This window comes from Homo sapiens, chromosome 2 (genome assembly GCF_000001405.40).
Source record: "Homo sapiens chromosome 2, GRCh38.p14 Primary Assembly".
NCBI classification, from domain to species: domain Eukaryota; kingdom Metazoa; phylum Chordata; class Mammalia; order Primates; family Hominidae; genus Homo; species Homo sapiens.
This window is the reverse complement of record NC_000002.12, coordinates 40,677,991-40,690,501: the sequence shown is the minus strand read 5'-3', so window position 1 is coordinate 40,690,501 and position 12,511 is coordinate 40,677,991. Positions and strand designations below refer to the sequence as shown.

At 35.4% G+C, this 12,511-nt stretch overlaps 1 long non-coding RNA gene across 2 annotated transcripts in view; it reads left to right on the top strand.

The window, feature by feature from the left end:
* Positions 1-11,761, top strand: part of LOC105374497 (uncharacterized) — a 291,527-nt gene extending 279,766 nt beyond the window's left edge. Inside the window, exon 4 of one of the 2 annotated variants that reach the window (XR_001739421.3) lies at positions 10,285-11,761. This is a non-coding gene — a long non-coding RNA (uncharacterized LOC105374497). Of the gene's footprint in view, positions 1-3,929; positions 5,707-10,284 lie in introns of those variants that run through there. The other variant, XR_939995.2, reaches the window with a different exon arrangement.
* The last annotated feature ends 750 nt before the right edge of the window (positions 11,762-12,511 follow it).

The following is a 12,511-nucleotide window of genomic DNA, read 5'->3' as shown; positions in this document are numbered from 1 at the left end:
CAGCCTAAGTCAGTACTCTGCCATGCCGTTAGTAAGATGGCCCTGGAAAGAGCTTGAGTTATTCTGAATGAGTCGTTTTGGAAGCTTAATGAAAGCAAAAAGAGGTATCATATTTAGTCAATCAAAAGAAAAAGTCAACACTCCTACCAGATACTCAAAGTTTTCTATTTTTTGACCCTAGCCTCTTTTCTAACCTTTTAATCTTTCACTTGCATCCTAATACTTGGGCCAATTAAGCATACTTGTAAGTCCCTGAACCGCAAACATTATTTTGTTTTTACTCATGCTATGACCACTGTCTAGAATTTCCCTTTGTCCAGTGATGTAGGCTCACCTTTTAGCTTTACTTCACGGTCACTCTCAAATGCCTTCATCCATACACATAGACACCTTCAAACCCCACTCCAAATGGCAACTACCCCTTCTCTGCTCTTGAGTATCCATGGCTGTCTACTGGTGACTGTTTAAGCTTGTCCTCACACACTTGGCATGGCAGTTATATATGTACACATGCCTCTAACTGTACTCTGAGTTCTGTCAAGGTAGATTTCCAGTCTGATTCATATCTGTGGATACCTCAGTGCTTGACTCAGTATCTTAATTCTAGTTAGACTCTCAATAAATATTTATCTATATAAGGAAGGTTAAAATACATATTATTTTTTAAAGTGTATGTTCTCAAATGACCAACGGCACAATATGGGCACTTGGAACAGTATCAGCAGCCCCAGGAACTCTTATGTTGCCTACAGAATAAACTGATGATGTATAACACACATATATGCACACAAACATAGAGAAAATAACAGTTAGTTAATACTAATTATGCCCCAGCTTCTATTCAGGGTGCTTTACATATGCTATCTTTTCCAAACCTCACAGTAACCCCATGAGATAGGTACCATTCTTTCTATTGTAAACATAGAGAAATTGAAGTTCAGGAAGATTAATTGTCTAAAGTCACAGGCTATGATAATTGTCTTATTGAGCCCTAAACACTTACTCTTTTCACTATGTTCATTGTTTAGATAGATATACAATCTAAAGTGTTTATCGCAGCATTATACACAATAGCAAAGATACAGAATCAAACTAAGTGTCCATCAACCATGATTGGATAAAGGAAATGTGGTATATATACTCAATGGAATACTATTCAACCTTTTATAACAATGAAATCATGTCTTTTGCAACAACATGGATAGAATTAGAGGCCATTATCTTAAGTGAAACAACTCAAACACAGAAAGACAAATACTGCTTGTTCTCACAACTGTGAGCTAAATAACATGTGCACAGGGACATAAAGCGTGGAATAATAGACACTGGAGACTTCAAAGGGGATTAAGAGGAGGTGGGGGATGAGTAATAACTTAATGGGTACAGTGCATGTTATTCTGGTGATGGATACATTAAAAGCTCTGACTTCACCACTACCTTAACCACTATGCAATATATCCATGGAACAAGGTTACACTTATACCCTACAAAATTATACAAAATAAAAGATTCGCTTGAGATTGGTAACAAATTTCCTCAAATCCCTAAAGTCTTAAAGATTACTATCTCTACTTTGGGAACAAAATACATAAAACAGTCAGAGTTCCCTCTCTTATACAATGGTTAGTTTTCAGTATTTTAGTCTTGTTTCATTTTTAAGAATCATAATTATTACCACAGCTATTCTTGTGAATATGAGCATCTTTTTGAGAATTATAGTCAACATATTATCAAAGTGTTATTATTTCTTTTTAAATATATGTTCTGCATTTTGTTTGTATAATCTTATCACATTCAGAGATCAACATCTTTTCCTTTGTTGTTTTAAAATACAGCTAAATTTAAAAAATAATAATGGTTTAAAAGGTATGTGGTTTACAAAAACTCTTTTGGAATTCAGTAATTTCATTAAATAAGTGGGTCCTTTATTTTAAATGTTCAAGCCAGGTAATCACAGAATGCAAAAAAAAAAAAAAAAAAATCTTGCCTTAATCTGATAGCCCTTGTTCCATTTTAGTATCCTTGGTCAGTATTTTACTCATGTTAACTCAAGGGCATTCTAAGGTTGATTGGCACCCTGTAATTAGAATGATTTGATTTTTACTCAATTGAGTCTATCAAGGGATAATGTCAGTTATCCCTTTCTGCTGATCCAATCACCCCTGTGAAAGGAATATTTTTATATAAAGAAATAATAAAAATGACTGAGTAGAATATAATTCTGCAAGCTTTTAAAGTATCAGATTAGCCAAGAAGTTAAAACTTCTGAAAATTGAGGGTGATGATATTGTGTGAGGGGAGCAAATACCAAATCTCAACATAAAACTCAATTCAACACTTCTAAATTTCTCAGGATCTTAAAGAATCATTCGATTTTCAGGATTGGTAAGGATTGTGGTCAGACGGTGAGAAAATATATTCAGACATACTGCTTGGCTTTCCATTGCAAATCATCCAAAGGAGCAAGAAGAGAACAGATGGAAAGAAGCATAGACTATATAACAATTCATCAACATAAGCTTTTCAAGTAACTTTTAAAGCTTACATGTTTAATTATTAATTTGTTGGGTTAATAGCTACAAAATGAAAATAACTGACGAATGCAATCTAAACATAGGAGAATCAGGCCTGCGTTTAACAGACACATGCCCTTGAGGGGCCTCTGTAAAGATAAATAGCATCTCCAGAGTAGGTAAGCTCAGTGTGTTGATGCCAACATCTGTAACTTCTCTCAGCCAAGGACTCAGCACCAATATGCAACTGGCCCCACTGTGACATGCAGACTCTGTGAGTGGTGCCCTTTCAACCAGACATAAAAATTTACATCTACCTATTTTAGGAAACTATCTTTAATATGGTTAAAAAAAGGTCATCATCTCTCTAAGGTCTAGAAAAAGACAAGGGCAAAATATGTAAACTTCAGTGGAACAATGTGTTTTATTTATACCCCCGGGAAATCAAATTATAGGGTTTTAATTGGGCCCACTGTGTAAGCACATATATTCTTTAGTATTTTTCATATTTTCTATTACAAGAATTTTATTTCTTTAACAATTGGCAATCTGTGCTGTTAGTTTCATGCTTGCTTCAGCTGTCCTAAGAGAGAAAATAATGTGGTTTGAACTTACACAACGCTGCATTTGCAAGTATATTTAAGCAATTTCTCTTTGAATAGTCTTATCTCCCTCCACATAAAATATTCCAAATAAGCTTATGTAATTAAGTTAGATGTTAATAGCAAAATCCAGAAATGTTTCTTCTAATTCAATATTACCACTAGAAAGCTTAACGAGAATTGTTGTATTCTTCAAAAACATATATTTTTTTTTGTTTCATACATTTTTGCAGGCTTTTCACTCCTAAAGTATAGAAACTGAAGACGACTTCCTCCTTCCTTTGTTGTATAAATAACCAATAGTCAATCCCTAACTCAAGTGTAGCTAATTTAATAGCATATTAGTAAGAATCATTAATCAACAATTTTTAAAAAAATCGAGTTCACTGTGTGAGTTAGTCAAATGGGAATTTGAATAGCAGTAGTCAATTAGCTAATATTGAAATTGAATACATTCTTATGGCATGTTTTCTTGGCAGATGGGAAACCAGCTGATCCTCGTTTTTACCCATAATCACGTTGTCACACATTTTATTCAGAAAAGTTAATCCAAGTTTGTCTAGCTAATCGTTTATATTAGTCTCAAGATATAAGCTGTTTCATCAACTTTCTCACAGTGAATTTCTAAGGACAATTGTTTACCCAATTTAGCAGGCTAAACAAGGCTTTTCTGCATGTCTCAGAGATATGCCACAAAGAGATTTAGCAAGTCTTCAGGGCTTGCAACAAAGTCTAAAATTTATTTATAATAGATTGTTTATAAAAATGACTATAATAATTCTTTTTTTCTCTTCTTCGCCATGTAACTTCACAGATCCTCTTATCGATGAGTGGAACCTCTTTCTCCATAACTTGAATCTGCACTGGCCATCTGGCTTGCTTTGGCCTAAAGAATGTGGGCCATTTCTGAGTCCAGGCTTCAAGAGGACTTTGCATTTCCTTTTTCTCTCTTGACACACTGTTGAAGTATAATGTAAATGAGCCAGGGCACTCTTAGAAGGTGAGATACGTAGTTCAATGGTTCTCATTGCTCTAGGTGATATCCAGCTAACCCCCAGAAGCAGAGCAACTTGAACAAGTTGCGGCTGACCACTGATCCTCATGGAGTCAGCTTCAATTAGAAGAATTGCTCAACTGAGTGTGGTCTAAATGATCTATTTCTAAATTATGAACACAATAAATGCTTATTGTTTTAAGCCACTGAGAATTAAGGTGACTTGTTATGCAGTAACAGATAATTGATAGACTGTTCATGAGTTCTGTGTCTCTGAAGAGTTTATGTTGTTTGCCTTTGTAATACCTAACATGATGTGTTAAGAGTACTCACTCAATAATAAATTATTTAGTTAACTGAAATGTTTCCATAGCAATAAGAATAGGCAGTTGGTCATTTGATGATTTAGTATGATCCAAATAATCCCTATGAATAATCAATCCATTCTATACCATATTAAGTAATCTGAACATTTAATAGGAATATTGATATATAGAAAAGGCTGAATCTCAAGGTAGGATGGACTGTTTCCACAAAATTTTGATATTGGTTTGAACACCCATACTCTAATACCTGCAGTTATAACAGATGTTAATCATACAAGAAAAATTAGATTAAGTGTTTTCTCCCCATTTTAATGGTCTCTTTTAATGGTCCCAGCACAGCTTAAATTTCTGGAGTTCACTAGCATCTCTATAGTAGTCAAATGACAGAAATATGGCAGCCTTGTTCATCAAAAGTGTAGTCCTCAGACCAGAAAGAACAGTGTCACTTCTGAGCTTTATGGAAATACAAAATCTGATCTGGGGCTAGCTGAAGAATGAAGGAATTAGCCAGACTGAGGGAGAGTCCTTGGGAGGATTGATTCTAGTCTGCAGTCACTTTCTGTTCTTGTTGGAATGTACTATATGGCACAGAGATGGACATTATGGGCTATTGTGACCATGTGATCAAACAAGTTACAATTACAATGGAATCATTGGGCCCCTGCAGTTTCTGTATTTATAAAACCATGCCATTAAAGGGCCTTAAATGACATTTTTCTGAACTCATAGTTCAATGGAAGTCATTTTTTTCTGAAACATGCCTCTCATACCTGGTACACATCAACTTTAAAAAATCAAAAGGCGGGGAAATCTCCCTTATTCTCGTCTAGGGTGAAAATGATCTGTTCTTCCACTCTTCTCCTTAGGAAATGGCAACTTAATCCTTTTTCAGACAGCTATCTTCCCCTAGGAAGCTCTCTTTTTGTGCTCTCAGCTTCAATTACTTCGATTTGCATTTGCCATGTTGTTCTAGAGATGGGGGAAAATGCTTTCTGCAAATGTTAGAGTTTATTTTTACCAAGAGAGCATAAACCAGAGTTGGACTTGAAAATAAAAGGGAGTTTATCTTATGTACTCTCTGACAATAAAAGACTCAATAGAATTTTCTCTTTCAAAAATAAAAAAGAGCTTTATTTCATGTTTGTTGGTCGCATAAATGTGTTCTTTTAAGAAGTGTCTTTTCATATACTTTGCCCACTGTTTTTAGGGGGTTGTTTGTGCTTTTCTTGTAAATTTGTTTAAGTTCCTTGTAGGTTCTGGATATTAGCCCTTTGTCAGAGGGATAGATTGCAAAAATCTTCTCCTATTCTGTAGGTCATCTCTTCACTCTGATGATAGTTTCTTTTGCTGTGCAGAAGCCCTTTATTTAGATCCCATTTGTCAATTTTGACTTTTGTTGCCATTGCTTTTGGTGTTTTACTTACGAAGTTTTTGCCCATGCCTACATCCTGAATGGTATTGCCTAGGTTTTCTTCTAGGGTTTTTATGGTTTTAGGTCTTACGTTTAAGTGTTTAATCCATCTTGAGTTAATTTTTGTATAAGGTATAAGGAAGGGATCCAGTTTCAGTTGTCTGCACATGGCTAGTCAATTTTCCAACACCATTTATTAAATAAGGAATCATTTCCCCATTGTTTGTTTTTGTCAGGCTTGTCAAATATCAGATGGTTGTAGATGTGTGGCATTACTTCTGAGGCCTCCGTTCTGTTCCATTGGTCTATATATCTGTTTTGGTACCAGTACCATGTTGTTTTGGTTACTGTAGCCTTGTAGCATAGTTTGAAGTCAGGTGGCATGATGCCTCCAGCTTTGTTCTTTTTGCTTAGGATTGTCTTGGCTATACAGACTCTTTTTTGGTTCTATATGAAATTTAAAGTAGTTTTTTCTAATTCTGTGAAGAAAGTCATTGGTAGCTTGATGGATAGGCATTGAATCTATAAATTAATTTGGGCAGTATGGCCATTTTCACAATATTGATTCTTCCTATCCATGAGCATGGAATGTTTTTCCATTTGTTTGCATCTTAATTCCTTGATCAGTGGTTCATATTTCTCCTTGAAAAAGTCCTTCACATCCCCTGTAAATTGTATTCCTAGGTATTTTATTTTCTTTGTAGCAATTGTGAATGGAATTTCACTCATGATTTGGCTCTTTCTTTGTCTATTATTGGTGTATAGGAATGCTTGTGATTTTTGCACATTGATTTTGTATCCTGACACTTAGCTCAAGTTGCTTATCAGCTTATGGAGATTTTGGGCTGAGACGATGGGGTTTACTAAATATACAATCATGTCATCTGAAAACAAAGACAATATGACTTCCTCTCTTCCTATTTGAATATCTTTTATTTCTTTCTCTTGCCTCATTGCCCTGGCCAGAACTTCCAATACTATGTTGAATAGGAGTGGTGACACGGGACATCCTTGTCTTATGCCAGTTTTCAAAGAATGCTTCCAGCTTTTGCCTGTTCAGTATGATATTGGCTGTGGGTTTGTCGTAAATAAATGCCCTTATTACTTTGAAATAAGTCCCATCAAAACCTCGTTTATTGATAGTTTTTAGCATGATGGGGTGTTGAATTTTATCGATAGCCTTTTCTGCATCTATTGAGATAATCGTGTGGTTTTTGTCATCGTTTTATTTATGTGATGGATTATGTTTATTGATTTGTGTAAGTTGAACCAGCCTTGCATCCCAGGGATGAAGCTGACTTGATCGTGGCGGATAAGCTTTTTGATGTGCTGCTGGATTCGGGTTGCCAGTATTTTATTGAGAATTTTTGCGCTGATGTTCATCAGGGATATTGGCATGAAATTTTCTGTTTTTCTTGTGTCTCTCCCAGGCTTTACTGTCAGGATGATGCTGGCCTCATAAAATGAGTTAGGGAGGAGTCCCTCTTTTTCTATAGTCTGGAATAGTTTCAGAAGGCATGGTACCAGCTCCTCGTTGTACCTCTGGTAGAATTCGGCTGTGAATTTGTTTGGTCCTGGGCTTTTTTTCGGTTGGTAGGCTATTAATTACTGCCCCAATTTCAGGACTTGTTATTGGTCTATTCAGGGATTCGACTTCTTCCTGGTTTAGTCTTGGGAGGGTATATGTCTCCAGGAATTTATCCATTTCTTCTAGATTTTCTAGTTTATTTGCGTAGAGGTGTTTATAGTATTCTTTGATGGTAGTTTGTATTTCTGTGGTATCCGTGGTGATATCCCCTTTATCATTTTTATTGTGTCTATTTGATTCTCCTCTCTTTTCTCCTCTATTAGTCTGGCTAACATTCTACCTATTTTGTTAATCTTTTCAAAAAACCAGATCCTGGATTCATTGATTTTTTTGAAGGGTTTTTTGTGTCTCTATCTCTTTCAGTTTTGCTCTGATCTTAGTTATTTCTTGTCTACTGCAAACTCTTGAATTTGTTTGCTCTTACTTCTCTAGTTCTTTTAATTGTGATGTTAGGATGTCGATTTTAGATCTTTCCTGCATTCTCCTGTGGGCATTTAGTGCTGTAAATTTCCCTCTGAACACTGCTTTAGGTGTGTCCCATAGATTCTGGTACGTTGTGTCTTTGTTCTCATTAGTTTCAAACAACGTATTTATTTCTGCCTTAATTTCGTTATTTACCCAGTAGTCATTCGGGAGCAGGTTGTTCAGTTTTCATGTAGTTGTGCGGTTTTGAGTGAGTTTCTTAATCCTGAGTTCTAAATTGATTGCGCTGTGGTCTGAGAAACTGTTTGTTATGATTTCTGTTCTTTTGCATTTGCTGAGGAGTGTTTTACTTCTAATTTATGTGGGCTGTTTTAAAATAGCTGTGATGTGCTGAGAAAAATGTATATTCTGTTGATTTGGGGTAGAGAGTTCTGTAGATGTCTGTTAGGTCGGCTTGGTCCGGAGCTGAGTTCAAATCCTGAATATCGTTGTTAATTTTCTGCCTTGTTGATCTGTCTAATATTGACAGTGGAGTGTTAAAGTCTCCCACTATTATTGTGTGGGAGTCTAAGTATCTTTGTAGTCTCTAAGGACTTACTTTATGGATCTGGGTCGTCCTGAATTGGGTGCATATGTATTTAGGATAGTTAGCTCTTCTTGTTACATTGATCCCTTTACCATTAAGTAATGGCCTTTGTCTTTTTTACCTTTGTTGGGTTAAAGTCTGTTTTATCAGAGACTGGGATTGCAACCCCTGCTTATCATCAGTGGTCATCAAAGACATACAAATAATAACCACAACAAGATACCATCTCATGCCAGTTAGAATGGTGGTCATTAAAAACTCAGGAAACAACAGATGCTGGAGGGGATGTGAAGAAATAGGAAGGCTTTTACATCGCTGGTGGGAGTGTAAATTAGTTCAACCATTGTGGAAGACAGTGTGGTGATTCCTCAGGGATCTAGAACCAGAAATACCATTTGACACAGCAATCCCTTTACTGGGTATATTCCCAAAGGATTATAAATCATTCTACTGTAAAGACATGTGCACACATATGTTTATTGCAGCACTATTCACAATACCAGAAACTTTGAACCAACCCAAATGCCCATCAATGAGAGACTGAATAAAGAAGATGTGGCACATATACACCATGGAATACTATGCAGCCATAAAAGAACAATGAGTTCATGTTTTTTGCAGAGATGTGGATGAAGCTGGAAACCATCATTCTCAGCAAACTAACACAGGAATAGAAAAATCAAACACCACATGTTCTCACTCATAAGTGAGAGTAGAACAATGAGAACACATGGACACAGGGTGGGGAACATCACACACTGGGGCCTGTTGGGGTGTGGGGACCTAGGGGAGGGATAGTATTAGGAGAAATACCTAATGTAGATGACTGGTTGATGGGGGCAGCAAACCACTATGGTACATGTATACCTATGTAACAAACCTGCACGTTCTGCATGTGTATCCCAGAACTTAAAGTATAATAATAATTAAAAAATGAAGCTAGAAAGCATAAATTTTTTCAAATAAGTAAATAGTAAAAAAGAGGAAGCCCTAGTAACTTTGACTGATAAAGACATGTGATTTTATTTCTACTAGTAATTTGCTACTTCTAAAAAGCCAGAGAGGCTCCCATTATCGTATTTATAAATCAATATGAAAATCATTTCTAAAAAAATTTCTAAGAAATGATCCAAATATGGAGTTTATATGCATAAGTTTGCTTTGGTTTAGTTTTTTGTGGTATTAAAAACTTGAAAGCAACTGAGATAACCAACGGTATTGAAAGAGTGAAATGAATCATGGTACAATCTTTTTGTGAAGCATTATGAATCCAGAAGTGGAAATTTGCTTATACTGCAGTGAACACTAAATGTAATTGCAAAATATTATGACTGTCATGTTTGCTCTGTAGAAGTTTCATATGCAAAAGTGAAAGCAAAACTTTCCGAAGCTTAGCTAGTGAAATTTAATAAACAAAAAAGCAATAAGGCTGATAAATGCATCTCAAATTTGCACAGCATAGTGGTTTTAATGCTCAAATAAATTCATAACAGCTTTTGGGTACCTAACATGTAATGAAGTATGGGAGTCCTAATTTCAAAATAAAAATTACAGTAGAGTTTCATTTATTAAATTGCTTTTTATTTTCCACACTTTAAAAATATTATCAAAACTTTTATAATTTAAAGATGGATGAAAGCTACTGTTTATGGCAATGTTGTGGACTAGATAATATGAAAACCTTCTTGTTATCAAAATCCTGGAAAATGCTAGTAGCAACATATTAATATTAATTTGAAATTACATAGTTAATTTTGAAAATGAATCCCCAAAGGTCAAAATCAAAGAAGAAATTGGTAAACAGAGTCATTAGCTGAAACGGATGACTTGGTTGTTCTTAGGGTAACTTGTTATTCGAGAGGAATGTCCAAGAGGACTGGGATTTAATAATTATGCAAGGAGAAGAAATGTGGATTTGTGTTGACAATAGACAACGGGTGATAACTTCTTCATGAAGCCTGGGCAATTCAAGGCTGCAACTTAAATGAAAGTGTGGACAAGAGTGATCCACTCACATTCCTGGAGTGATAACAAAGCAACTTGTCTGCTTCATCTTGGAGGCTATGTAAGAAAAAATATCTCCTGGAAAATTCGTAATTTTAGATCTTCCTTCACATTGGGTCGAAGATGTTGTTTGCTGGTTTAATAATAGGGTATCTAGGGGAGGAGGAAAGTACTGATATCTAGCATCTGCTAATTTCTGTGGTGACAATAACATTACTATGGCTGATTTCAGGCTACCAATGTGATATCATGAACTAGGAATTGGGGAGAGATGTGGACCGTCAGCTGACACAAGCTAGTGTGAGCTAGCTTCATCCAGCACCCTACTGATTTAAAGAGTGAACTCATATTACTTGAATAATCCAGCAATAAAAAGATCATAGAAGGGTTATATATTCAGTAAAAAGGTGAACTAGAAAAAATAAACAACCCATTGGAACATTTAATATATTTATTGCCTATTTATAATTTGATTCTGCAACTTAAAATACAGAGGTCCTTTCTAAAAATGTTTACACAGGCACCTGGCCTCACCTAGTTTTCCAGGTCAGCTGTATGCCATTCTCAAAGTTCAGGAAACCCTAACAAGAATTGCTTTAGGACTTATCTCTGATGCATCTGACAAAGCAAATACAATATTGGTCTGAAGAAGAAACTCTCCAGCTAGTTTGCACAGAAAACATCCAGTGAAAAATAATAAGTTCATAATACAAAAATTAAAACATGCAATGAAACAAAATATATGTCAACATTAGCAGAAACAAAAATAAGCAGTATAAACCTTAAACAACTGTATAAATTTTGTGTGTGTGTTTGTCTCTATGTTTGTGTGTGGAGGCATATCTGTGTGATTCCATGTCTTTAATAATGGTAGAACCATTTGTGCTTTCAAAATCTTCTGAATGAGTTTAAGGCTATATTTTTGTCAAAGAAGTTCTGGATTTCACCCAGTTTTCAAATTTATTTTCACAGAACTTCCTGAAAACTTTCTTATTACTTCAGTTTTATTGTAGGTATAATTATGTTTTACTGTTCATTTCTGTGACTACTTATGTCTCACTCCTTTTTTTATCATATTTTCAATGCTCTTAGGATGTATCTATTTACTGAGACTTTTCAAAGAACATGTGTTTCATTTTATTACACTTAAATATTGTTTCTTAGAGTTCTAGTTTATTGAAATCTGTTTATATTCTTATTTCTTGGTAATTTCTTTCTTGGGTTTTCTTTGGAATTAAAATATTAGTCTTTACAAAGTATTCTTGTGTTGGGGGCTTAAGTCATTAACTCAATAAATTCCTTTTATTTCAAGTATGCATTTCTAAATCTATTACTCTTTATTGTCCCTATTGTTCCATTCTAAAAATTTGAACGTTTGCAGAGAATAGAATGCCAAATATTCCCTTGTTTTATAAAGCTAATATATGTTTGATTTAGACAAGATTAGCATGGAAAATAAATTCTATATACATGACATTTCACCTATGAGTATGGGTGCAAAAACAGAGTCAATAAAATGTTAGCAAACAAAATGTGATAATATATATTTTAATGCAATGTAAATATCTTGTGTTCATACTGCAAGAGCAACTGTGATTCTGAATATGTAAATATATTATGTCAGTTCCCACTACCATAAGTAGAAAATAATATGATTAGCTCATTAGTGCTATTGTGTCTGGAATGTATTCCTTCCGGTGGGTTCTTGGTCTTGCTGACTTCAAGAATGAAGCCACGGACACTCGCAGTGAATGTTACAGTTCTTAAAGGTGGCGCATCCAGAGTTGTTTGTTCCTCCCAGTGGGTTTGTGGTCTCGCTGACTTCAGGAGTGAAGCCGCAAACCTTCACAGTGAGTGTTACAGCTCATAAAGGTAGTGCAGACCCAAAGAGTGAGCAGCAGCAAGATTTATTGTGAAGAGTGAAGGAACGAAGTTTCCACAGTGTGGAAGGGGACCCAAGTGGGTTGCTGCTGCTGGCTCAGGTGGCCAGCTTTTATTCCCTTATTTGGCCCCGCTACATCCTGCTGATTGGTCCATTTTACAGAGTGCTGATTGGTTCATTTT